Source organism: Homo sapiens, chromosome 1, assembly GCF_000001405.40.
Source record: "Homo sapiens chromosome 1, GRCh38.p14 Primary Assembly".
In the NCBI taxonomy this organism is placed as follows: Eukaryota; Metazoa; Chordata; class Mammalia; order Primates; family Hominidae; genus Homo; species Homo sapiens.
Window position 1 is genome coordinate 46489836 of NC_000001.11, and position 26968 is coordinate 46516803.

At 51.5% G+C, this 26968-nt stretch overlaps 1 protein-coding gene across 4 annotated transcripts, besides 4 other annotated features; it reads left to right on the forward strand.

The window, feature by feature from the left end:
• On the forward strand, positions 1–26381 carry DMBX1 (diencephalon/mesencephalon homeobox 1). Of its 4 annotated transcripts, none has more exons than NM_147192.4 (6): positions 1–42; positions 809–948; positions 17164–17329; positions 20626–20819; positions 21100–21448; positions 22208–26381. In NM_147192.4, the coding sequence occupies exons 3-6, from the start codon at positions 17176–17178 to the stop codon at positions 22657–22659; spliced, it is 1149 nt and encodes a 382-aa protein (NP_671725.1). In that variant the 5' UTR covers positions 1–42; positions 809–948; positions 17164–17175; the 3' UTR covers positions 22660–26381. The 4 variants fall into 4 exon arrangements, with proteins under 4 accessions (NP_671725.1, NP_757379.1, NP_001374705.1 ...); NM_172225.2 differs by having other exon boundaries at positions 20641–20819; NM_001387776.1 differs by lacking the exon at positions 809–948.
• Positions 209–1013: an enhancer, noted in NCBI's record as "H3K27ac-H3K4me1 hESC enhancer chr1:46955716-46956520 (GRCh37/hg19 assembly coordinates)". NCBI's record gives its function as "activates a minimal SCP1, AML or CMV promoter by ChIP-STARR-seq in naive and primed H9 embryonic stem cells {active_cell/tissue: H9 hESC(naive and primed)}" and the evidence as "EXISTENCE:reporter gene assay evidence [ECO:0000049][PMID:30033119]".
• Positions 1822–2475: an enhancer, noted in NCBI's record as "H3K4me1 hESC enhancer chr1:46957329-46957982 (GRCh37/hg19 assembly coordinates)". NCBI's record gives its function as "activates a minimal SCP1, AML or CMV promoter by ChIP-STARR-seq in naive H9 embryonic stem cells {active_cell/tissue: H9 hESC(naive)}" and the evidence as "EXISTENCE:reporter gene assay evidence [ECO:0000049][PMID:30033119]".
• Positions 2476–3127: an enhancer, noted in NCBI's record as "H3K4me1 hESC enhancer chr1:46957983-46958634 (GRCh37/hg19 assembly coordinates)". NCBI's record gives its function as "activates a minimal SCP1, AML or CMV promoter by ChIP-STARR-seq in naive and primed H9 embryonic stem cells {active_cell/tissue: H9 hESC(naive and primed)}" and the evidence as "EXISTENCE:reporter gene assay evidence [ECO:0000049][PMID:30033119]".
• Positions 21918–22563: an enhancer, noted in NCBI's record as "H3K27ac-H3K4me1 hESC enhancer chr1:46977425-46978070 (GRCh37/hg19 assembly coordinates)". NCBI's record gives its function as "activates a minimal SCP1, AML or CMV promoter by ChIP-STARR-seq in primed H9 embryonic stem cells {active_cell/tissue: H9 hESC(primed)}" and the evidence as "EXISTENCE:reporter gene assay evidence [ECO:0000049][PMID:30033119]".

A 26968-nucleotide genomic window follows, 5' to 3' on the forward strand; every position in this document is an offset into this window, starting at 1 on the left:
GTAGATGGCAGCGGAGGCGGCGGCGCGGGCCGGGGTGACCAGGTACGAGCGGGCGGGGCTGGCGGGCCGAGCCGGGAGTAGTGCGGGACAGTCGCTGCAGGGAGGACGCGGGCCGTGAGAACCCGGGGACAGCCTCCCCTCTTGCGGTCCTGCAGTCCCGGACCCACTGGGCGGATCAGAAAGTTTGCAGGGAGCCAGGGACTAGGAGACAGACAGACAGCGCAGGGACAGAGAAAGCGGAGGGATGCCAGAAAGACCGAGTCGGGGACAGACAGAGAGACCCAGGGTGAGACAGAGGAAGAGATACCCGGGGCTGAAAACGGTGGCAGAAAGTGAGCAACTTAGGGAGACAGAAAGAGCGCAGAACTCGAAATTCCGAGGCAGAGAGAGCGGAGGGCAAGCCGTGGGTAGAAACGCGCCGAGGCGAGGACGAAGGCCTTGGCCCGCGGAGACGCAGGCACCCGCGGAGAACGCTTCGGATCCGTCACGGTTTTGCCTCATTTGGAAGATATTACTTCGCCCCTGAAAAAAAAAATACAAAAAAGGTTTGGATATTAAGCGGAGACAAATCCTTCTCAGTTTGGAAGGGGGCGGCGCGGGGAGGGAGGTGGCCGGCGTAATGCGGACCAGATGCGGCCTGGGGAGTTGCGGAGCCCTGGGCGGGGGCTGGGGAGGGGGCGCGGCCGGCAGCCCAGTTCCCAGCCTGCGGAGCGCAGAGGCCGCCCACGCCCTCCCAGCTTCCTGGTCCACGCGAACCCCGCAGTGCTCCGGGCATTGCCCGGGTCTGGCTTTGGTCTCGCCCGCGCAGATCCCGTTCAAACTCAGCTGCCACCAAGTGCGCCTTTTCTCTCTGGATTGCGATTCTGCACGAATTTTCCAGTTGAGGGTGGTTCGGCGCTCAGCCAGCCTCTGCCCTCGAAGACGCGGCCTTGGTCTAGGAACCTTCAGGTGGGTGTTTGGGGCGCAGTGGCCCTAGTTCCCTAGAATTCGTTTTGCCTCCCGCGGCCTCAGCCGGCGTGGGTCAGGCGAGCTCCGGCGAGGAACGGCAGGCTGGGGCCAGTCCCCGGAGCGGCTCTCGGGGCGCTTCTAGGGGAGCAGTCAAAGGGTTGCGAGGACTGCCAGGGTCTTTCCTCCCTAGGCTTCCCACACTGGATGGCCGTAACTCAGTCGTTGACGGCGACAGGCCAGGGGCCCTGATGGACTGTGCAGGGTCCCGGGCACCACCGGCTGAACTTTCTGGCGGTCACAAATTCCCGGAACCTGCGCAGGGGCTTCGTTGGCACTGGTGGTTCACTTAAGGAGCTTGAGGGAAACCTCCTCTTCCCCAAATTCGCACCAAATCTGGGGCCCCGACTTTTCCTGGATTCCAGCCACACTCGGTTTGGGAGGCAGTGGGCTCCTCAGGCTTGTGATTTGCGGCAGGAAGGAGTCCCGGAATGGAAGAACGGGGAGGACGAGATCCGAGGCCTTTTCACCCTCTTTGCAAGCATGCAGTTCACCAAAGCCGAGAACCCACCGGGCCTGGAGCGCAGCCTCAGCGCTGGTTCCGACCCGGGCCCCAGAAGGTCTTTTTCGTTTGAGAAAAGTCCTCGGAGGCCGGGGCAGGGTGCGCCGATATTGGTTTACTAAGGGCGCCTCCAGTTTGAGGGCGTTGGGGAAAGAGGAGGGCTTTATTGACTTGATGGACCTTGGAGGAAAGGGGCTGTCTGTACCGCAAGGGTTGTGTGCTCCACAGCCGAGGAAATTGTGCAAGTTCCTACCTGGCTGTGGCGATGGCAGGGCGACCAGAGTCCTTTCCCCTCTCTAGTGCTAGGGATTCTGTGCGCTGCAGGCGGGTCAGCTCTGTCCAACCCCTTTCTAGAAAGTTCTATGGTCTGTTAGTTTTAGGTGGGTGTAGTGGGGGTTGTTTTCAATTTTTCGGGGATTTGTGTTTCACTTACCCACATCCCTGGTTCTCCCCTCGAATGGAAAGGCACTCTGGCCTAAGGACGAATGAATTTAGTTCCTACCTCCCCTTTCTGCAAACCAGCTGTGTTTATGTGTGTCTAGGTGTTCAGAAAAAAATCGAATTTGCTGCCTAGTGAGAGCAAATTCTCTGGATAATTGGCTCAAATCTCTCTCCTGTATGGCTGGGGTAGACACACTTTTGGGAAAAGAAGCAGGGCATTGCTACTCAGGAGGGGGGTAAACACCTTACCCCACCCCTGCAGTATTTGGGGGCGCCTACTCCTGCAAGGAGGCGGGAATCTGTCAGCCCAGACCCCGAATGGAATGCAGAACAGAAAGGCAGAGGTGCAGAGGAGTGGAAACCCGCCCCAGGCGAAGGCCATGGCGAAGGACAAGCACTCGGGCCTCGGGATGGGCTCTGCCAGATAGTGGGCTTACGGGTCAGCTTCACGGGCATCGGGTGAGTGTCTGGAGGATCCCTGCACCCCTGTCCTAGCCACTTTCACATGCACAACCCCAAGTGGTCAGGAAATTTGAGCTGTTTCTCTGTTCTCAAACATAACTTGCACTTGACACCCTGTGGGCACACACCCACGCACACACTGTGGATTTTGAGCAGGAAATAAAGTTTCCACCCTCTCCTGGGCGTCAGTGCTCTGGGAGTGTACAGCCTAAAATGAGGAGTCCACCATAGCCCTTAGTGCCAGCCTCTTGGAAGCCAGGGTTCTTCTGAGGAGCAACCAATCTGGTTTGACGATTGGAGCAAGGGGACATTGTCGGTGGTTTTTGAGGGAAAGGGAGAAGCAGACCCAGAGGCGCAGTCCCCTATGTCTGAACGAATTCTGTGTGCGCACACATATTTGCCAGCTGTCTAGATTGACGGTCACACACAGACACACATACAGAGGCTGACAGGCACGCAGAGTGGGACTCCTGGGTTAGAGTCACCTGGGCTATGGGTATCACACTCAGACACACTTTGAGAAGTCACACAAGAGGCATGGGCAGATCCACTAATCACGTAAAACCCCTCTGATAGACACAGTTCCATACTCACAGGTTAAACTCACGCAGACACTCATGCTCAACACATGCAGACACCCCGTAGGACAACAGTCCCAAGTGTCACAGCCCCACCTTGCGCAGAAGCCCCAGGCAGCCCTAGGGAGGGTGCGTCTACATTTTTGCTTGGCCTCTGCGCTCCCTATTCCCGCCACTCTCTCCAGGCCTCGAAGTTACTCCTCCTCCTCCGGCCAGTCCCAGTTCCTCAAGGAGCCAGTCTTCACCTCCCCCACCCCTGCCTTCCCATTTCGCCCCCCACCCCACCCCTTTCTCACAGTCCCGCTCGGCCGCCCCGCAGTGCCCATGTAAATGACAGCAATAAATATCTAATCAAGGCCCCGGGCGACGCCACTGCTGCCCGCCAAAGCCCATTACCGAACGAGTAGGGAGGGGCGCTGGGGTGGGTTGGTGAGCTTTCGGCAGGGTGTGTGTTCTGGTCTCCACATTCATCCTGCACTGAGTGCCTCTCCTGTCTGACCTTGAGCGAGTCTCAGTTTCCCTTTCTGTAAGAAGGGCACCGAGCTGGGCTCTCCAATGTCCAGCCCTCCCGCCGTTCAGTGGCCTCTCTTTCTATTTAGTCACCTGTCCGTTCTTCCAAGCTTATTTGACTCTGCCCCAGTGTTGCCTGATGGGTGGACATCCCAGATTGGACAGACCACAGATCCCAGCTCTGGTGGCTCTGGCCCCAACTGTTCTTCGGACTTTAGCCAGGTTTTTGCTGGCAAAGGGGAGTTCCCTGGATATGACAGCGGCAGGAGGGAGCACATTTCCCAGATGGGGTCACTCCTTCCCTCTGGTCTACAGCCACTGTGGGCGCTGCTTCCATGAGCCCCGAGGCCACTGGAGCCCACTGGGTTTCCCGGCCTGTTCCAGCCTCCACAGCTCTATCTCCAGGGTTGCTTGTGCCCCGGATGAGTTGTACATCTGTCAGTGTGCAGAGCAGGAGCCGCAACCGCGCTTTCTGCGCCCGCAGGACAGACCCTCCTCCGAGTTCCTCCAGCCGTTTGGAGGCCCTAACTTGGGCCTAGAGCAGCTCTGCTCCTCAGGGTACTCTGTAGTCCCTGTTTCCCAGCCCCGGCCTGGATCTGGATGGCCAAAAGTGGACCAGGTCATCCCTGACAGACTTTGGGCCAAGGCTAACTGAGCAGGCAGGGCCACCACTTCTGTACCCTGGAGAGGCCAGGAACATCCTGGGGTCTTAACCTATGCCCTGCTCCATCTCGGCTCCGCCCAAGTCTCCTCGATCTCCAGTGTGCTAGCTGTATCTCTGCCAGAAAGGAAGCAGAGAATCAAGCAATTACCCAGACAATTCTACTCTCAAGACTTGCAGTCAGGTCCCTTGGCCTACCCCGCCACCTACCTGCTCTCAAAAGCTGATGGATGCTGGGCCAGATTCGAGAAAAAGCAACAAAAAAGTGGCCTCTCCCATCTTCTTTCCCTTTCCTGGCTGCATTTTGCTGCCTTAAAAGAACAAAAAATTAACTCCAGCCGCCTGATTTCTCTGCACCCCCAACATTAAGGACCTCGGAAAACTGGAGGACTGTAGGCGGAGGGGCCTCCCTCAGTCTCGGCCCATTAGCCTGCGGGGGGCTAATTACCCCAATTAGTGGCTGATTTATAATTAATGGCTCGGACCAAGGGATAATTGGATGTTAATGGATAACAGTTTGTATAGGGAACTAAGAGCCCCGACTCCTTCAAAGGGCCACTGGCCGGTGGTTGGCCCTGAGACCCACCGGGACCCTGGAACTCTCCCAGTGGGTTCTTCTCCTATCCACTGGGCCCCCATCCCTGAGCCAAGAGGGGAGGTGAGAATCTCCTTTGAGGAATTTATGAGCTCTGTGTGCCCGTTATGAAGTCCAGCACCTCTTCCAATCTGACCCTTGCAAAGCCACATACTTCCAAGCCCACCTGCCTGCCATGCATAGCTCCAACTCCAGGTTCACTTTGGGGGCCCTCAGTGGAGATGAAAGGAGGATGAGCAGATTATTTGACCCCCCACAGCTCATCCCCTTCCCATATGGATCAGGCAATGCAGGGTTAACGGTGGCGATGTGGGGGTCATGATACCTATGCCACTGGCTGGGGGAGGGAACATGGCCAAGGTGAGGGCAGTGACCAGGGCTCATGTAGGATGAGGTTAGAGCTTAGTCTGTGACAAGGTCAGGGTCACAGCTGTGGCCAGAAGGTGGCTTGGCTTCTGGTGAGGACATTGGATTTTCCCTGCTGGGGCAGGGCAGAGCAGGCAGGGTGAAGAGGAAACTTTGGACATTGGCCCACTCTCATCTCCCAGAGCTGGTTTCCTCTGCCCTAGGGCATGTGACCATCTGCAATTCCCCTAGAATCTGAGCCCTTCAAGCTGGAATTCATGACACTACCCCCAAAGTCCATCGCTCAACAGGCAGTGGCTCCATCTTTATTTGTGGAATGAATGTCTGATGTCCCTTGCTCTGGGCACTGGGTCCTGAGTACTAGCTGGGGAAGCAGACCCCGCCCTGGATCAAGGTTAAGAGCTCTGGTGGGCACTGATTTCACAATTTGGAGTTAGACTCCCTCGATTCCATCCCGGCTAAGCTGCTTAGCTGTGTAGCTTTGGACAAGTGATTTTACTTCTCTGGGTCTCAGCTTCCTTATCAGTCAAATGGGGATTATGAGGTTGTGAAGATTAAATGAGATGCTGCCAGTCAGGTCTCTATGAGGATAGCTGGTAATAATAGTTATTTATTATAAAACTCTGGCAAAAGGTAGGCAAATTGGCAACTACAATTTGGTAAGGATAGGAATTTAAAGAAGTCACCGGACCCAACTGGTGACTTCTGGACCGAACCACTGCTAAAATTGGATGATTTTAGAAAATTATCCAATCTTTCTCACCTTCCATTTCTGAATCTGTAAGATGGGGATGGCAGGAGAGGCTTCCTGGAGAAAGGCGTGTGCAAGCTTAATGCAAGTCAGGAGTTCTCCAGGTCATGCTGGTGGAGGGACAACATTCCCGGAGTGGGAGGCAGCCACATAGTAGCTTTGGAGAGCCATGGCTCAGTGGTGGGTGGGAGTGTACAGGAGGGAAGGAAGGGGAGATGACAGATTTGGATATGGCTCTTAAGAAATATGGCTTTGAAGGTATCAGAGAGAACTGGTCTGAGAGATGGGTTCATTTGTTTCAAATGAGGCCTGGCCCACCCCACCCTCTGGTGGAGAGCCCTTGTTGGGAAGAATCTGGCCCCTGGCAGGGGGAGGAAGAGGCTGATCCCTGGGCTTTCTGCACCTTTGAGTGCCTGATACTGACAGGAGATTTGGGGAGCATGGAGGGTTCAGCGTAACCCAGGAATGGATATGGGGCTCTTGGAGGAGCCCCTGTAAAATAAGCGGCATCTGAGAGGTAGTAGCTGGGGATGTCATCATGTCAAGCTTGCTCTCAAACTGTGTGCCTGCAGGGTCCTTGGTCAGGGTAGGATCGGGATCTCCACAGCCCTCACATCCTATCCTCCCACTGCAGATTCCTGGCAACTCAGAACTAAGAACAGATGTGGGAACAGGGTACTTACTGGGATGGGGGCTTAGCCTTCCCCATTCCCAAGCAGGCCAGCCAAAGGGACTCACCTTCCTTGAGCCTCAACTCCTCATCTGCAATGTGGAGAGCGCCTCCCTCATAGACTTGGGGTAAGAAATTAATGAGGTGCTGAAGTTGAGGATCTGGCATGTGCCAGGGACAAAGCTTCTTTTAAAATCTTGGACCCAAAAGCTCAGAGTTGGAAGGCTTCTAGGTCATCTTGTTCAGCCAGCCCCACAACACCCACTCACTCATGCACACACACATGCATACACATGAACGAATCCCTCCTTTTCGGCCTCCTTCACACGTGGCTGGCCAGCCCTGGGTTACACACTTCTCATGACAAGGTCTCTTTCCCTCCTGGTTAGTGTCATATCAGAAGAGGTCAGAGATGGTAGGACGCTAGCCAAGGTCACAAAGCAGCCTGGAGTTGGGGCAGGAGCCCTGGCTTGCTGCTCCCGGGTTCGTGTATTCATGATCTTCTACCTGCATGAGTAAAAGTCCTTTTGGACTTCAAACTGCAAAGCAGGAGGGACGGTTGCAGTGGCCTCTCCCCTCAGAGTGTCACTGGAGAACCTCCAGAGATAAAGGGGCAGCAGCCTTTCTCAGGGAAGAGAGTCCATGGCAACAGGCTACTCTCGATCTCTCCCTCTGCCATTGACACCCAGGGTTGGTCCTCACCAGGGCCTATCTCTTGGTCACACTGTGAAAATAAATACCAGATAGCTCTTCAGAGACTCAGAGACCTGGATTCCCATCCTGCCTCCACCACTTACTAGCTGTGGGACCTTGGGCAGGAGACTTTATCTCCCTGAGTCTTAGTTTTCTCATCCATATAATGGGGATAATTATACCTATCTGGAAGGGTTGTGTTGAAGTTTATTAGGTGATATACCTAGAATGAGTGAAACAAGACTTGGCACGTGGTAGATATTCAAAGACTGGTAGCTGTTGTTATTGTTGTTGATGAGATGATGTGTCTCACCATGCCTCACCGTGCCATTCTCTCAGAGAATGTTTGTTTCCTCTGCTTCTCCTTCTCTTTCCTTTCCTCTAAGTAAAGTTTTTCTGCCTTGTTTCCATTGTGAATGGGAATGAGAAGAAACAGAGGGAAAATTAAAAGTTCAGAGAAGGAAAGGGAGAGGCAAAGAGTTGGTGGGGTAGGCCTGTGGGGTGGCTGAGCAGGGTGTGACCCAAGGAAAGGTCCACTTTCTTTTTAATCAAAGACGTCTTGCATGCATTTTCATGGCACTGCTGCTGTTAATTTATAAAAAATGCCCCCTAATAAAATTCTGCTTGATTCTTCGATTGGCTAGGCATTAGGCCGCAGCCAGCAGCGATGCGGGGACATAACGGATGCATTTGCAGATTTGGAAAATTAAAGCCATCTATATGGCGCCTGTGGCGGGAGATCCGCCGATCTGCTTGCTTAATGAAATATAAAGATTCTTTTAACCAATGTAAGCACAATTCGACAGCTTGTGAAACGCGGCCGCGCCGTGATGGATGGCTCTCCTGGCTCGCCAGGAATTGCGGGGCGGCACCTTTTAAATATATAATTGATTCTGTTTGGAGTGTGCAGTGGACTGAGCCCAGGCAGGGCCCGGCCTGGGGCCAAGAGTGCAGGGCCTCTGTTTAGAGGCTCCTGCAGGCCTTGTAGGGTTCCAGCCTGGGGGGGCCTCCCTATAGGGGCCACCAGGACTCAGAACTGGATGTGGAAGGGGTTCCTGCAGCTGGGCCTGGCTGAAGACCTCAGTAGTGCAGGTCCTGGCTGCCCCTATTGCTGGGAAAGGGCCCACTGGGCAGGGGTCACCCTCTTGAGGCCTATGTCCTGGGACAGAGGAGGTAGTGGGCTAGGACTCTGGGTCTCCATTTCCTCCCGTGGACCATCCTGGGCTGTGGTGGTCCTGCCTCCCTCACAATCTCTTGGTCTAAAATTCCTTCCCATTCATTCAACATTTACTATTTACTAAGCACCAACTGTATGCCAGGCTCTGTGCTAAATGTTGCAGAAACTAAAATGGCTAAGACAAATTATTTATTTTCTGTGTTGATCTCTCTCCTTGCTTTTTTTTTCTTTCTCTGTATTTTTCTCTTGTTCTCTCTCACACCTTGTTCAGGGGTGGAAGAGCCACAATACACTGACCTAGCAGCAGGGGACAGGGCCACATGACTTTCTAGGGTACCATTTAGTGTACTGTCCCCTGGTCGCACACTTACAGACACATCATTTGCACACATGGGCTCACAGGCATGTACACCCACCAAGACACATAAAATAGCCAGATATACGCATAAACAGAGACAGATGCATATACAATCATGTGGCCGATCCCAGTTGGGTTGTGTACACACATGGCCGCACATGGACACTGAGGTGGGCTTCAGACCTATGGCTGTGTGGTACCACATGTGTACAGCTCAGATGGTAAGTAGCATCCACTGACAAGGGTCCCTCTATGGCCTCAGAGGAGAGCAGGGGCCTTGATGTCCAGCTGTAGTGAGGAAGAGGAGTATGAGCTGGAGGGAGAGGAGCTTAGCAGGGAAGATTTAGGCTTCCACACAGCTTCATCTCACAGCACACATACATGCACACAGTGTGCACACGAACATGCATACCAGAGGGAATGTGTTTTTTCTTTTCTTTTCTTTTTTTTTTTTTGAGACCGAGTCTCACTCTGTCACCCAGGCTGCAGTGGCGCGATCTCTGCTCACTGCAACCTCCGCCTCCCCGGTTCAAGCGATTCTCCTGCCTCAGCCTCCCGAGTAGCTGGGATTACAGGTGCCTGACACCACGCCTGGCTAATTTTTGTATTTTTAACAGAGTTGGGGTTTCACCTTGTTGGCCAGGCTGGTCTCAAACTCTTGAGCTCAGGTGATCTGCCCACTTTGGCCTCCCAAAGTGCTGGGATTACAGGCGTAAGCCCCGCGCCCAGCAGAATGTGCTTTTTCTTGCTGTCCTCCTATTGCCTTGGACCAAATCAGAGAAGATAGAAATCAGGGAATGGAATATGCTGGGGAAAGATCCTGTGCGACTGGGGTTGGGAAATACTAGCTAGTGGGAAGAACTTCACCTGTTGACACCTGTTTCACCACTTTCTACCTCCATGGCCTTTAGCAAATTATCCAATCTTTCTTGCCTTCCATTTCTGAATCTGTAAAATGGGGATAACATTTTCTACCTCCTACGGTGTTGGGAGAATTGATGGAGATGTCTGATGTATCAGAGGCATTTAATAAATAGTTGTGATTATTAATTCATCATCTGATCCTTATTTCCTAATCCTGCTTCTGCGCTAGACCCTGTGATCTGGGCTGGGGGCGGGGTGGGTGTCCAGAAATGCATGATATAGTTTCTGCCCTCAACGAGCTTAGTCTAGTCTAGTTGGGGAGATAGAAGTGTCATCACAGCACTCTGCTGCAGGCACTAGAATTAAGAAAATACATGGAAGGTGCTGAGTGTGGTATCTGGCACAGAGTGTGTTCAGTACATTATAGCTAGTACTGTTGTTGTTGTCATCATTGTGATCATCCTCATTTCTATGATCTGAGAATACTTATCACAGCCTGGAGTGGAGAGAGATGCCTTGTCAGAGGCGACTTGGGGAAGGCCCCATTTCTGAAGAGGGCTCAGTTGAGCTAGGCCTTATGGAGAGGGAAGAATTTGTTAGGGGAAGGGAAAGAAGAGGAATGGTGTTTCAGGTAGAGGGCCCAGCAAGAGTAAAGGCGTGGAGATGAGAAGGAGTGGTAGGTAGTCTGGTAGTGCTTGGTGCTGGGGAGGGGGAGGGCATCAGGCCATACTGGGAAGATCTCAGAGACCTTCCGAGGGCCATGGGGATGGGGCAATTGTGGGGCCCAGAGAGGGATCTCTCTGGCTTCAGTTAATAAAGCTGCATTGTGCATCAAAAACTGTGAGATCAGCGATAATTAAGTCAATTAAAATGTCACTTACCACATCAACAGCAGTGAGTTCTAAAGCAACAAAGCCCCTGAGTTTGGTGGGGGAGGGGCATTCCAAAAGCAGGAGTTGGGATGGATGAAATTGCTTCTAAACTCTGTTCCCCCTTCCCCACCTGGAGCTTGTGACACTCCAGAGCCTGGTTTCATCCTCATATCCAGCGAAAGACGTGGATACCTCCCCCCAGCCCCTACCCCCCTCCCCCAAAAAAGAAAGAAAGAAATAATATAAATGTGAAAATCACGTGTAATCCCATTTGCTATCTCCCAGAGATAACCTCTGTTAACATTTCAGGTTATAACCTTCCAGACTTTTTTCTATGCATATTTATACATACATTACAAAAATGGATCGTATCATGCATACTGCTTTGTTACCTATTTCCCCCACTCAACAGTATATTGTGAACATCAGCACATACAGATACACATCATTGTTTTAAATTGCGGTGCTGTAGTCCACTGGGAATACCTGTCCCCTCATTTGCTAAACTAATCCTCTCTCGATGGACAGTTAGGTTTTCAATTGTTTGCCATCACAGGCAGTGCTGTGATAAATATTCGCATACACATATCTCTGCATACTTGAAGGGTACGTTTCTAGAAATGGAATCATTGGGTCAAAGACGATGTACTCTCTAAAGGCTTTTGATGTAAGGAATAAATAGCTCTTCTGCCATCAAGGTAGGAGAATGACCATCTGCCACTCCCCTAGATAACCCTGTGTAATAATTTTTCTTTATATTTGCTAATCTGATCGGTAAACAATGACCTTTCTTTTCTTTTCCCTCCCCCTTCCCTCTCTCTCTCTGTCTCTTTCTTTCTGTTTCTTTCTCTCCCTTCCTTCCTTCCTTCCTTCCTTTCTTTCTTTCTTTCTTTCTTTCTTTCTTTCTTTCTTTCTTTCTTTCTTTCTTTCTCTTCTTTCTTTCTTTCCTTCTCTCTTTTTTTCTTTCTTTCTCTCTGTTGCCAAGGCTGGAGTGCAGTGACATGATCTCAGGTCACTGCAACCTCCACCTTCCGGGTTCAAGTGATTCTCTTGCCCCAGCCTCCCGAGTAGCTGGGATTACAGGTGTGGGTCACCACACCCGGCTAATTTTTTGTATTTATTAGTAGAGGTGGGGTTTCACCATGTTGGCCAGGCTGGTCTCGAACACTGACCTTAAGTGATCCCAAAGTGCTGGGATTACAAGCGTGAGCCACCCACGCCTAGCCTTTTTCTTTCTTTGGTTATAAATAAGGCTGAGCTTTTTGTCATGTCAGTTGGCTATTTGTATTTCTTCTTTAATGAGTTGTTTCTTCATTTACTTAGCCTATCTTTTACTAAGGTGACTATCTTTTTATTTATTTAGAGATGGGGTCTTGCTATGTTGCCCAGGCTGAATTCAAACTTCTGGGCTCAAGTGATCCCCTCACTTTAGCCTCCTGAGTAGCTGGGACTACAGGTGTGTGCCACCGCACCCAGCTTTATTTTTTTATTCCTAAGTAAGAGTTCTTTGTATATATCATGGATATTCCCTTTTATTTGATTTGTGCTATTTATTTTTTATGAATTCCTCTATGTCATATACAGTATATAACAGATATTTTTCCAAATTTATTGTTTGCCTTTTAGCTTTGTTTATGGTATATTCTGTTATACTGAGGTGTAAATTCTTCATCTCACCATGTCTATCACTCTTTTCTCTTAGCTTTCTGCCTTGAGGTTATGGTTATGGTGTGTGGAGTGGGCTTCTGCAAGTGAATGTTGTTGGAGGAAGTTAATGTGTGAATGCTGACTCTGAAGTCTGTAAATCTAGCCCTCAGCTCCAGACTTCTATATCCAACAGCCAATTCAACATATGCTTACTTGGAAGTTGGATTCACGTGTCAGTCATTCTTGCCATGTCCCCCAAAACCTTGGTTTCCATTCTCTCCCTCCTCAGATCTGCTTCTCCAACTCAATGCTCTTCATTCAGGAAAAGACCCATCTTCACTCAGCTGTTCAGGATGGAAACCTGAGTTATCCTTTTTTTTTTCCCCTCTTTTCCTCACATCTTATAACTAAGCTATCAGCAATCATGCTGATTCTACCTTCAAAATACCAGAATCTGACCATTTTCGGCACCTCCTCCCACTCTAGTGAAGGCAGCATGGTCACTAGCCTGGACTTCTGCAGTGTCCTAGTGGCCTGGTCTCTCCACTTTTCTTCTTGCATCTCTGCAGTTTTTTCTCTGTATAGCAGCCAAAATGAGCTTTTAAAAACAAACCATAGGCCAGGTGTGGTGGTTCACGCCTGTAATTCCAGCACTTTGGGAGGCCAAGGCAGGAGGACTGCTTGAGCCCAGGAGTTTGAGACCAGCCTGGACAACATAGTGAGACCCTATCTCTACAAAAAAAATAAATAAATTATCCCAGCATGATGGTAGTCCCAGCACACCCAGGAGGCTGAGGTGGGAGGACTGCCTGAGCCCCAGAGATTGAGGCTACGGTGAGTCAAGATTGCACCACTGCACTTCAGCCTGGGAGACACAGCGAGACCCTGTCTCAGAAATAAAAAAAACAAAACAAAACAAAAAAACCCAGATCATATTATGTTACTTCCCTCAAGACCCTCCAGGGGCTTCCCATCACACTCGGGATAAAATCCAGCTGGGATTTCCATTGGGCCGTGGGATTAGTGGGATTACAATGGGCCGTGGAGCCCTCTGGCTAGCGGCCCCTCTCCCTCTAACCTTACCTCCTTCACCTGCTCCCTCCATCTGTGCTCCAGCCACCCTGGTTTTCTTGCTGTTCTACACACACAAGCTTGTCTATGCCTCAGGGCCTTTGTCCTTGCTGTTACCTCTGCCTGGAAAGCCTTTCCTGAGAGCTCCACATGGCTGACTTCAAGTTTCTGCTCAAATGTCGGAGAGCCCTTTCCTGACCACATGTTCTAAAACAATCTCTCCTTTCCCTCTTGTCATTCTCCTCCTCTGCCTTATTTTTCTTCAGAGCCCATATTCCAGTCCGACAGTAGTACATATATTTTTATTCATTGTTATACATCCCTCTATCCAGGAATGTAAATTCCATGAAGTTAGGGACTTTGCTATTTAGTAAGTGGGTGCTTAATAAATATGTGTTGGATGAATATGTGTAATATACAAATGGATGTGAGTGTAATGTTTGTGTGTAGATGTCTCTGCTGCATGAGTAGATATCTGTGAGCATGTCTGTGTGTGGAACTGTGGGAAATGACATTCAGTTTGTGTCTGTGATTAAGGAGGCTTCTGTGAATGCCTTGCCAAGAATGTCTGCGTACGTGTATTTTTGCACGAAACGTTCATGTGCTTGCCTGCAACTGTGTGTGTTTGTGTGTAAGCTGTGGTTGTTTGATTATATATAGCCTGTGTCTGTTTCAGTGAGGAGCTGAGATACCTGCATATGTCTTCCTTTTATCAAATGGACCTGCCATTGCCCCAGCCTTCCCTTTTCACCTCCCACACTTGGGAAATAGGAAACACCTTTGTGTTTTGGGGAGACTCCAGATGCGGAGTCAATTCCAAAAATGACATTTCACACTGCTGCAGACTGGGTGAGGGTCCGGATGGGACCTTGGCAGCCTCTTGTTGAGGCTGGAGCCGTCTCAGTAGGATGGATGTCTTCTCTGATGAATGGAATATTTCCTTGGAACAATTGGCCGTGAAAGAATAAGGCTCATGTCCTTCGCCCACTTTTTGATGGGGTTGTTTGTTTTTTTCTTGTAAATTTGTTTGAGTTCGTTGTAGATTCTGGATATTAGCCCTTTGTCAGATGAGTAGGTTGCAAAAATTTTCTCCCATTTTGTAGGTTGCCTGTTCACTCTGATGGTAGTTTCTTTTGCTGTGCAGAAGCTCTTTAGTTTAATTAGATCCCATTTGTCAATTTTGGCTTTTGTTGCCATTGCTTTTGGTGTTTTAGACATGAAGTCCTTGCCCATGCCTATGTCCTGAATGGTAATGCCTAGGTTTTCTTCTAGGGTTTTTATGGTTTTAGGTCTAACGTTTAAGTCTTTAATCCATCTTGAATTGATTTTTGTATAAGGTGTAAGGAAGGGATCCAGTTTCAGCTTTCTACGTATGGCTAGCCAGTTTTCCCAGCACCATTTATTAAATAGGGAATCCTTTCCCCATTTCTTGTTTTTCTCAGGTTTGTCAAAGATCAGATAGTTGTAGATATGCAGCGTTATTTCTGAGGGCTCTGTTCTGTTCCATTGATCTATATCTCTGTTTTGGTACCAGTACCATGCTGTTTTGGTTACTGTAGCCTTGTAGTATAGTTTGAAGTCAGGTAGTGTGATGCCTCCAGCTTTGTTCTTTTGGCTTAGGATTGACTTGGCGATGTGGGCTCTTTTTTGGTTCCATATGAACTTTAAAATAGTTTTTTCCAATTCTGTGAAGAAAGTCATTGGTAGCTTGATGGGGATGGCATTGAATCTGTAAATTACCTTGGGCAGTATGGCCATTTTCACGATATTGATTCTTCCTACCCATGAGCATGGAATGTTCTTCCATTTGTTTGTATCCTCTTTTATTTCCTTGAGCAGTGGTTTGTAGTTCTCCTTGAAGAGGTCCTTCACATCCCTTGTAAGTTGAACAGACACTTCTCAAAAGAAGACATTTATGCAGCCAAAAAACACATGAAAAAATGCTCGTCATCACTGGCCATCAGAGAAATGCAAATCAAAACCACAATGAGATACCATCTCACACCAGTTAGAATGGCAATCATTAAAAAGTCAGGAAACAACAGGTGCTGGAGAGGATGTGGAGAAATAGGAACACTTTTACACTGTTGGTGGGACTGTAAACTAGTTCAACCATTGTGGAAGTCAGTGTGGCGATTCCTCAGGGATCTAGAACTAGAAATACCATTTGACCCAGCCATCCCATTACTGGGTATATACCCAAAGGACTATAAATCATGCTGCTATAAAGACACATGCACACATATGTTTACTGCGGCATTATTCACAATAGCAAAGACTTGGAACCAACCCAAATGTCCAACAATGATAGACTGGATTAAGAAAATGTGGCACATATACACCATGGAATACTATGCAGCCATAAAAAATGATGAGTTCATGTCCTTTGTAGGGACATGGATGAAATTGGAAATCATCATTCTCAGTAAACTATCGCAAGAACAAAAAACCAAACACCGCATATTCTCACTCATAGGTGGGAATTGAACAATGAGATCACATGGACACAGGAAGGGGAATATCACACTCTGGGGACTGTTGTGGGGTTGGGGGACGGGGGAGGGATAGCATTGGGAGATATACCTAATGCTAGATGACGAGTTAGTGGGTGTAGCACACCAGCATGGCACATGTATACATATGTAACTAACCTGCACAATGTGCACATGTACCCTAAAACTTAAAGTATAATAATAATAAAAAAAAATAAAACATTAACTTCTACTTAAAAAAAAAAAAAAGAAAGAATAAGCCTGCAGGAATGTGGAGTGGGGCAGGCCCTGGACTGGCTGTGTGGCCTCAACTTGTCACTGTTCTTTCTCTGAGCCTCAGTAGACTCAACTGCAAGTGGGGCTTGTCATTCTTGGCCTGCTTGCTTCTTGGAGATATGGTGAGAATAAAGGGAGGTAATGGCGGTGAATGTATGACAGTCATAACAACAGTATTCTTATCAGTATTCTTATGTTTGTGCAGGACCTTAGGGTTTATCTCATTTCTTTTTTTTATTTTTATTTTTGGAGACAGGGTCTCGCTCTGTCGCCCAGGCTGGAGTGCAGTGGTGCAATCTCGGCTCACTGCAACCTCCGCCTCCCAGGTTCAAGCAATTATCCTGCCTCAGCCTCCCAAGTAGCTGGAATTACAGGCATGCGCCACCATGCCCAGCTAATTTTTGTATTTTTAGTAGAAACGAGGTTTCACTATGTTGGCCAGGCTGGTCTCAAACTCCTGACCTCAGGTGATCCGCCTGCCTTGGCCTCCCAAAGTGCTGGGATTACAGGCATGAGCCACTGTGCCCAGCCCTGGGTTTATCTCATTTCAAAGCAAATGCCTCAGTGGGCAGTCTAGCTCTGATCTTGGCTCCAAGTGGGCCTCAATGGATATTGGTTGAATAAGTAATAAGTGTGTGAGTGAATCAATGAAGGTAAAAATGAGTAAGTGCCTGAGTAATTGAACGAAGAGATGATTGCATAAAGCAGCAAATGAATTTGTAAATCACAATGACTAACACTTTTGAGCACATACTATGATCCAGTCCTTTGTAAAGGCTTCTCTTAATCCTTGCAGCAACCCTATGAGATAGGTACTATCATGAACCCCATGTTGCAGATAGAGAAACTATGGGTCAGATAAGTTAAAGCCACAAAGCTCCTGAGTGGTGGACTTGAGGTTTCAGCCTGCCCTGGGCAGTCTGACTCTAGAGCCCAGAGCCCTAAACCCACACTGGCCCTGCCGAGTGAATCGATGAATGAGTGGGTGAATGAAGGAGTGAATGCAGGAACCCCCACACGGTAAGCCACGGGCAAGACAGGCTCCCTTCCGATGGAGGGAGCTTCTGACCCATCAGAAGGTGGGCATCCAGGGTCTGGACTGGGGGTGGGTCTCCCTGAGGGCAGAGTCTGATAGGCCTGCCTCATGGCCCCTCTCCCTTTTCCGTCTGTAGGCGGATGCCGCCATGCAGCACTACGGGGTGAACGGCTACTCACTGCACGCCATGAACTCACTCAGCGCCATGTACAACCTGCACCAGCAGGCAGCCCAGCAGGCCCAGCATGCCCCCGACTACCGGCCTTCAGTGCATGCGCTTACATTGGCTGAGCGCCTGGCTGGTAAGGGCCCTGGGGATGGGACCATGGGGACAGGACTGTGGGGGTTGGGGGAGAAGGCTCTGGAAGGCAAAGAGGAGAGGGAGCACTGGCCAAGCTTGTTCTAGGGGGCTCAAAAAGACTCAGGTCACTTAGCAACACAGAGAGATGTCAATTCAAAACTATGCATGTATATCCAGAGTGCCTTTTGTTTGCCAGCACTGTCCAGGGCGCTGGAGCTGCCCTATGCTTTCAAATTCTCAAAACAAGCCTGTGAGGGAGGCATTCATTAGCCCTATCTCACAGATGAAGAAATGAGGTAGGAGGGTAAGGGACTAGTCCAGAGTATTATGGCTGGGAAGTAGCTGGAAGAGGCTGGAATGCCCAGGCAAGGAGAGTTCAGGCACAGGGAATTGTAAATAACAGCTTCTATGTTCTGACACCAACTGTGAGTTAGGCACTGTGGGAGTCTCTCTCTTTCTGTGTGCCTCAAATCATCCAATCCCCATGTGGAGAGGTTATTATTTCCATTTTATGGACAAGGAAACGGAGGCTCAGAGAGGCTAAATCTGGGCCAAGTGGGGTTGGAACGTAACATGGCTAAAAATATGAGCTTTGGAGTCCTAGACTTGAAATCAGCACGGGCTTTCCCACTCAGCTCTCTTCTCTGAGCCTCAGTTTCTCCTTTTATAAAAAGGAGACAATGGCCATGCCCATCCCCTAGGGTGGTTGGGAGGTGATTTGTGATGACATATGCAAAGCATTCAGCAGAGCCTGGTAGGTGCTCAGAGGTCATTATTACCCAAAGCCCAAGGTAAGTACCCATATATGCCTATGAGGGACCGGCAGTCTGGTGCCCCACACCTGGTTCTACTGACTGTTGCCCTGCCCTGCCAGCCTCTCGGTGGGTGAGAAAAGGATTCAGTGGCATGGATGGGGAGTTTGATGTCCTGGGAGGTGGTGCCACCCACCCCATCCTGTCCCAGGTCCAGCCTTGAGCAGCTGGTAAACCCACATGGGCTCAGCCCTGTGCCAGGCAGGCCTCAGAAAACTTCAGGGAACTCCTAGGGAGAACAGGTGCCCATGACCCATGAGAGGGCACAACAGGAGGGTATCCAAGGTCAAATGCTGGGGCAGCTCAGAGCAGCAGGATCAGCTGGGGTAGTCAGGAAGAGCTTTCTGAAATCCACAGGGGCAGGAACCAGGCCTCAAAAAGGCCAACATGAGCAAAGGCACAGAAATGGGATGGGATCTCCACCTGGGTAGCAGCACTGGCCTGGCAGGGAGGGCATGGCCAGTCTCACTCCTTTAGACCCTGCCAGGCCTCTGGGCAGAACTCAGTGGATAAAGGTTCTCTGGACCAGTGTGGAGGCATTAGTTTCTAGTGTGGGGATGTTGGATACAGTCCTATGCACAACCTGGTGGTGACATCAGCTCCTGACAGTATTCCAGGACCCAAGGACCAGAGCACAGAGAGGAGTCAGGGACAGGGGGCTCATGTCCGCTGGTGGGGGCAGAGGAACTGGGGTGTTCAGCCCACCCCCAACTCTCTAATTCTTAGGAAGGAAGGACATGAACTCCAAGTGAGCCTTTGTATGGAGGCCTTGCCTTCCAGCAGAGGCTCTGCCGGCGGTTTAGAGAGCCTGGCTTCCCTGTGACACCTACACGCCCCCCACCCCCCACCCCCCACCACCCCTGCAGTCCCTGGAGCCAGCAGTAGGATGCTGAGCTGTTGCTCCTTCCCCAACCAGAGTGGGGCTGACAGAGCGGTCCCCACTCCTTCCCCTGCCCCAGGATGACTCAGCTCAGGGCTGAGTCAGGCCTAGGATTAAGGTCAGTCTGTGAGGGGTTCAGGACTCTCTTTTTAAACTGAAGAAGAAGTATCTCAAAGTCTGGGGCTTCCTGGATACCCAGTTGCCTCTTCCTATTCTTTTTTTTTTTGCGGAGGGGGGATGGAGTTTTGCTCTTGTTGCCCAGGCTGGAGTGCAATGGTGCCATCTTGGCTCACTGCAACCTCCGCCTCCTGGGTTCAAGCGGTTCTCCTGCCTCAGCCTCCTGAGTAGCTGGGATTACAGGGGCCCACCACCACGCTCAGCTAATTTTTTGTATTTTTAGTAGTGACAGTGTTTCATAATGTTGGCCAGGCTGGTCTCGAACTCCTGACCTCAGGTAATCCACCCGCCCAAAGTGCTGGGATTACAGGCGTGAGCCACTGTGCCGGGCCTCCTCTTCCTATTTAGGGTGCTGTGGATGACTTCCCATTCCCTGGAGGGCGGGGGAAGGACTCTGGCACCCCTTTGCAGAGGCTGAGATGACTCAAGTTCCCTTCAGCACAAACAGGGCAGGATCCACTTATGACATGATGGGAGGCAGTGAGGAGAGCGGTTACTGTCTATCCTTCAGGGGCTAGTCAAGTGAAAGGGCTGAAGGCTATACCCCAGGATGGAGGCTAGACCTCGGCCCTAGGTAGACACCTATCCTGGGTGGTTATCATGTTACCAGACATGTGGACAGGACTGTGGAATCAATGGTCCATAGTCCTGTCTCCCCTACAAACCCACAGTGGTTGGAACCAGGTCTCTTTGTCCTTCTGTTCTTGGGGAGGCAGCCACAAGGGTCAAGACTGAGTGCAACAAGCCTTACCTGAGACGTGAGCCCTGCCACCCCCACCCTCCCCGCTCCACTCTTACCCCTTAGCCAGGCTCTCTGTTCAGGAAACAGAAGAGTAGGAGCCTGAGGCCCTGCCATCAGAGACTCTAGGCCAGCTGGGATGAGGGGGTTTACATGCAGAGGACAGAGAATCAAGTGCTGGTGAATTCTGTCTGCCTAGTCAGTCCTCCCTTGACTAGACCTTGAGATGGGTACCAGCCCAGCCTGGCTTCTCATGGGCAGGGACCAGTACTCTGATGCTAAAGAAGTCTTAGTATTCAGAATCTAAGGGCTATAGGGTCTTAGAACTCCTGTGATATGGACTTACAGATTATTAGCATCATGGAGTCTCAAAGTATACTCATAGTATCCATCTTAGGGTAATACCCACCTACCCAATCCCAATGCCAAATAATGAAGACCCCCCTCAATCATATGCCTGACAGCCATTTTTGGAGTTGAGTTAGACCTCTGTGGTCCTGATAGTGCATAATGGGGTGGAGAGACCTTGAAAGCCCACAGCCATATGGAGAGGGGATGGCTGATTTCTAAGGGTAAGGGACCAGGGCCAGCTCTGGCAGCAGCCTGGGTGTCCACAGTGGGTCAGAGCAGGATAAGATTCAAAGCTATTTCCCATAATTAAATGGGCCCCCTCTCCTTGCCCTCCAACGGCTGTACATTTCAAGACATCATCTTGGAGGCCCGTTATGGTTCCCAGCACCGCAAACAACGTCGCAGCCGCACAGCGTTCACGGCTCAGCAGCTCGAGGCCCTGGAAAAGACCTTCCAGAAGACTCACTACCCAGATGTGGTGATGCGTGAGAGGCTGGCCATGTGCACCAACCTGCCTGAGGCCCGGGTGCAGGTAGGGCCCAACTCTCCTAACTAGGCCTTGCAGACAAACACCAGCCCATCAGTCTGCCCGCTTGTCCAGGAGCCAGCATGTCATCCCTGTGCCAAGGTGCAACTGATCTCTCCATCAAAGCCTTCAGTGATAGGAGGGGAGTTTGGGAAGGGACAGAGGGTGTGCATTCCCTAGAGGGGTGGGGGGATGTTATCACGTACATCCTCTCCCAGAGCACCCTGCTCCACACCAACCCCACTTCTTTCTTGCCCACCTCGGACTGCTCCTTTCCCGTCCCCAGGTGTGGTTCAAGAACCGCCGGGCCAAGTTCCGGAAGAAGCAGCGTAGCCTGCAGAAGGAACAGCTCCAGAAGCAGAAGGAGGCTGAGGGCTCCCATGGGGAAGGCAAGGCCGAGGCCCCCACTCCAGATACCCAGCTGGACACTGAGCAGCCCCCACGTCTGCCTGGCAGCGACCCCCCTGCTGAGCTTCACCTGAGTCTGTCTGAGCAGTCAGCCAGTGAGTCAGCCCCCGAGGATCAGCCGGACCGTGAGGAGGACCCCAGGGCAGGGGCTGAGGACCCCAAAGCTGAGAAGAGCCCTGGGGCTGACAGCAAGGGGCTGGGCTGCAAGAGGGGCAGCCCCAAGGCAGGTGAGGTCTGAGGGGTACCATGGGAGGGCTGGGGTCTGGGGGCCCTGAGCGTGTGAAGCAAGTCAGAGGCGAGTAATCAACTGCCCCTCAGGGGCATGGCGCATCAGAAAGGACTGACCACAGCAGGCCTGGGCCAGGTTTTCACCCTTTAGTTGCAGAGCCGTGGGAAGGTCCAGGGGGTCCTGAGGGACGGGCTGGGTAGCAGGGGTGGGATACTGCGGGAGCTCGGGGCAAAAATTATTTATCAACCATTTGGAAGTATTCCAATATTTTAACAACCAGTTGGATGTCCCAGTGCATACTGGGCGAATACTGTATTAGTACCAGAGATTCCCACGTGCAGCAGAGACTCCGAGCACATTTCTGAAGGAACAGAGCTCTGGCATGAGGCATATCTCAGATACAAACCCTAAGCCCAGCAGGGAGGGGACAGGGGCTGTGAGCTGAAGGTTGGAGTGAAGGAATGGGAGCTCTGGGCAGGGTGGGGGAGGGGGAAGTTTACAGCCCTTGAAAAGAAAAAGAGACAGACGTGGGGGCCTTGGCAGGGTCCCTGGAGCTTTCCCAAGAAGCCTGGGTCCCTTTCTCCTAGGATTCTGAGCCTTGCTTCAGGGGATGCTCTGGCTGAGATGGGATGGATGTGGTTTCAGCCGAAGCCTGTCTTGTCTATAGTGCCAAGGAGGTGAGAAGGCTGAGTGCACCTCTCCTGGCAGACCAATGCCCTTGTCCTGAGGGCTTTGTTCTTGGGTTCTCTGCTTGCAGATTCCCCAGGCAGCCTGACCATCACTCCTGTGGCCCCAGGGGGTGGCCTCCTGGGCCCCTCCCACTCCTATTCCTCGTCCCCGCTGAGCCTCTTCCGTCTGCAGGAGCAATTCCGCCAGCACATGGCGGCCACCAACAACCTGGTGCACTACTCGTCCTTCGAAGTAGGGGGTCCGGCCCCTGCTGCTGCAGCGGCGGCTGCTGCTGTGCCCTACCTGGGCGTCAACATGGCCCCGCTGGGCTCACTGCACTGCCAGTCCTACTACCAGTCCCTGTCAGCAGCCGCTGCTGCCCACCAGGGTGTGTGGGGGTCTCCTCTGCTGCCTGCACCCCCAGCAGGCCTGGCTCCTGCATCAGCTACCCTGAACAGTAAAACCACAAGCATCGAGAACCTGCGGCTCCGGGCCAAGCAGCACGCGGCCTCCCTGGGACTCGATACGCTGCCCAACTGACTGTCTGGCTTCCAACCCAGCCAGGGGTCTTAGGTGTCCCCTCCTAGCCCTGTGGTTATCCCTAGGTGGCTCTCGAGGAGTTAACTCCATGAGCCCAGGGATCCTAGGGCCTGGGGTCCTGTTCCCTGCTCCGCTTCCCCATACCCCAGCCCGAGGTGAAGCCCACACCTACACACCCTCTGCATGGCCCTGCCTGGACCCCATGGAGGCCGAATAGGGAGGAGGTGAGAGGCTGGGGTGCCCCAAGCTTCCCTCGGAGAAGTGAGAGGCTCTCCCTGGCTAGATCCTCATCTCAATAGCACCTCCTCCCTTTTCTCCCTATCCTTCTGCCCCCTAGTAAGTCTACGTGTGGAATGTGAGATATAAATATAAATATATAAAGCTATATTTTCAGGCTCCTGCCTGCCCCAGGCCCCCTGCCCCACTCCCATCTCTTCTTCCCTGCCACCCCTCCCTGCAGCCTCCGCGGCTCACTCCAGCCATCCCTTCTGTTTCTCCTTCTCTCTCCTTCCTTCTTCCCTTGATCTCCCTCTTCCTGTCTCTGTCCTGGTCCCTGCCCCCGTCTCGGCCCAGCCTCTGTATTCTCCACCCTTGATCTTTCTCCTTGTCTCTCCCGCTGCCCCTGGTTTCTTCCTTTGGTGTTGGCTGTGTTGGTATCATCAGTTCTTGAGCTATATTTTGTTTGGGGTTGTGGCTGGTTTTGGTTTTAGTAATTTTGCGACTTCCCGTTGCTCTCCTTCTATTCCCTTCCTTCTGCCCTGCCTGCCTCCCTGCACCTGCGGCCTCTCTAGGAAGCTGTTCCTTTCTATGCCCAATAGAAGCAACAAGGCCCTAGCTGGAGACTCTGGGGATCTGGAGCTGCAGGCAGGAGGTGGCACTGGCTCCCACTCCCACCCCTGCCCAGGCTGGCATCTAGAAGGCGTCATGAATTACTTTCTCTTCTCTCTTCTCAATTTTGAGGTCCTCATTCCCAAGATTGAGGAGGCAGTAGTTAATCTGGGAAGGCAGTAGAATGGCCAGCATTCCTGCCTGTAAGTCTTCCCAAGACAGAGGCCCGGTGACACAGTTCAGCCAGGACTGACCACAGGGCTCTAGAGCTCTCTTTGGTGAGACTTCCCTGGATGGAGAGCAGCAGCAGGGGAAGAGGTGCTCTCAGAGACAGCAGGGCTGGTGCTCTTCTCCCACAAGCTGAGCCTCCACGTTCAGCAGATACTGTCCAAGGCAGGGGTACGGCTGACCAGGAATGAAGGTTGAACTCTGCTCCTGAGCACGGTGCGTGCAAAGCATATAGCAGCACATAGGCTCAGGCTTCTGTAGGCTTCCTGTCCCAGAGCCAATTATGGAAGTAAGGGCTTCCCTCCAGCTAGTCACTGGAATGGAAAAGTGTGTTCCTGTTCATAGCCAGGAAACCCAGCTCAGCAAACTCCCTTTCAAAGCTGTGTGACCGGCTGGGCATGGTGGCTCACACCTGTAATCCCAGCACTTTGGGAGGCCAAGGCAGGCAATCACCTGAGGTCAGGAGTTCAAGACCAGCCTGGCTAACATGTGAAACTAATAATAATACAAAAATTAGCTGGGCGTGGTGGCACATGCCTGTAATCCCAGCTACTTGGGAGGCTGAGTTGGGAGGATTGCTGCAATCTGGGAGGTGGAAGTTGCAGTGAGCCGAGATCATGCCACTGCACTCCAGCCTGGGCGACGGAGTGAGACTCCATCTCAAAAAAAAAAAAAAAATAAATAAAAGCTGTGTGACCTTGGGCAAGCCTGTAGCCTCTCTGGGTCTGTTTCCCTGTCTGGGTTAGATGGCCTGTAAGGTCCTAGCCAGCTCTACATTCTGCATTTGCTCGCAACCTTGTAACACAGAAGTTTTTAGTTAAATTGACAACAGAAGGTTCTCAAAAGCACAATATATGAAGTAGGAAATTACTATTGCCTTTCTGTGGAGCAAGGGGTGTTGTACACACAAGCCTCACTGTAGACACTGCCTCAGTTTCCCCATAGGCATAATGGGTCCCTTCTAGTTCAGGCAATCTGGATTTGATCTTGAGTTCCAGTGCCAGCCTCTGGAGTCACTCCATTTTCATACCTTTTCATGATCTCAGGGGCTCTGGGCAGTGGGAGGTGATGGCTTGGACAGATTCTTGGTCATGCTCCCCAACTCTTGGTGGCTCACCACTGAACACTCCAAACCCTGCTTAAAGAAGTTGATCTATCTGAAAGCCAGGGTAAAGATTGCTAAGGCTTGTCTCCTCTCCCAGTGGGAAGAGAGAGGTTCTGTTGGTGTCCTGGTTGAATTGCTTTGCAGAGAAGTCAATGCCCATCACCCTTGATGGGGGTCAGCCTAGGCTGGGGCAGATGGAGAAGGCTTTGGACAGGAAAAAAGTGAGCAGGATGGTAGTCTAGGCCAGGAGAAGTGTTTGAACAAAGCAGCAGAGATGAGACTCAGTAGACCATGGGAAGGGGGTGGCTGGCTTCACGAGAGGTGGGGCTAAGGGGCCTGGAATCCAGGCTAAAGACCACACCTACATGTGGCAAGCACCAAGACAGGCATTTGAGGGTTTCCAAATCCTCAGGTCTCTTGCTGGGGTCTGGAATTTGGAAGGGGAATCCACCAGCCATGGGGGCATCAGAGGAGAGACTTAGGCAGCGCTGTGGGAGGTTGGCAGATTCCAGGAGTGACAGAGGAGGTTTTTGGTTTGGGAGGGATTTTGTGGCCAATAGCCCATCAACTGTCCTCTGGGATTAGCCCCAGGAAGTTCTGTTTCTAAAACAAAAAATAATCATCTGGATAGGTATGGGAAGCTTCCTAGCTGCTTTTAGGCTGAAGCTTTTTGTCAGTTCCTGGGTACAAGTGACTGTCACTAGGCCTTGGAATCCAACAGCCTTAGATATCACTACCTCCTCCAGGAAGCCTCCCCTGAACTCCTAAGGGGCAATGTTCTGTCATGGCTGGAGGCAGGCCCACCTTAGGAGCAGCCGAGCTTCCCTCAGATGTTTGTTAACACTTGTCCCATTCAATTGACCCAAATCTGCCAGAGAAGGCAGGGAAGGTACATGTGGTCCCTGCCCTCGGAGGGCTCTCAAGTTTAGGGCACCAGCCTTGGGTACTGAAAGCAGCTGGAGAGCAAGAGGAGAGGACACCTGTGTCTCCTCCAAGCACACTGGTAAGCGGCACCGTGCATCTCCTCTGAGCACGCTTGTAAGCAGCACCGCGCTTCCCTTCTTGTGGGCAGAGGGTACAGGCCCACCACACCTGATGCTGGAGCCCCTCCCAGGCCTGCTGGGCCAACCTGGGCCTGAAAGCCAGAGGCTCAAGCTCTGACTGTCCCTTCCAGGAATGCCTCATGCCTGGCCTCTCCCTGCTGTCTGAGTCTCCATTTCTCTGTTTCCTCACTCCCTCAGAGCATGGTCCAGGGGCCCGGATCCCAACCCCAACTCCAAGGCTGGTGGGCTCTACAGACTGCTTTCCAAACCAGCTGTTTTGTGACCATTTGTGCTTAGAGGTCGTGCCAGCCCATGGCAAAGACACTGTGTACTGTATTTATTTATTCTGTTAGTGGAAAAAAACAAGACTTAATTCACCCCTGCCTGTCCCCTCGCCTGCCCCCTGTGTAGTGCTGCATGACACTCTGTGTATCTGTCCTTCTGTCAGTCTCATTCCCTGTGATGTTGTGACCTGTTCTTTGTCTTACTTGGCGAATAAAAGAGAACCCAGCAGCCCAGACCTCAGTCCATGTTCATTCCCAGAGATGCCCGCAGTGGCCTGAGCAGGCAGTGTCTCCAGGTCTGTTCACTGCCCCTCTGATGCCATGGCCAGTGGGGAGGGAGGCGGACCTACTGCACTATTGGCCATTGTCACACTGACTGTGTAGCTCTCTCTGTGGCCCTTACTAATCTGCAGCCGGGATGCCACTCTGGAGTGGCTGCAGGGGAGCAGATAATGGGAGACAGTTCCATCTTCTCTAGGCTGTTTGGACCTCACCCAAACACAAGTGGCAGAGTAGCCTGGGACATGGGACGCCTGAGACAAGCAATGCCTGGGAGTATTCAGTGTAGCTTGGGAGACGGATGGGTCTGCAGGACAGAGAGAGGCAGGGGACTCTGTGGAAAACTGCAAGTAAGCCAGGGCCAAAGGGGAGTGGTAAGAAGAGACATTTGGATCTACAGCCAGAGCTATTTTCCAGTGGAAAGGGAAGCCTTCAGAGGCTGTGAGCTCTGTCCTCAGAGGTGAGCAAGCAGAGGATGAAGGAGGGCTTTCTGCCATGGTGCGCTGGGGTGTGTCTGTGTTGTTATAAGTCTATCTGCAGGT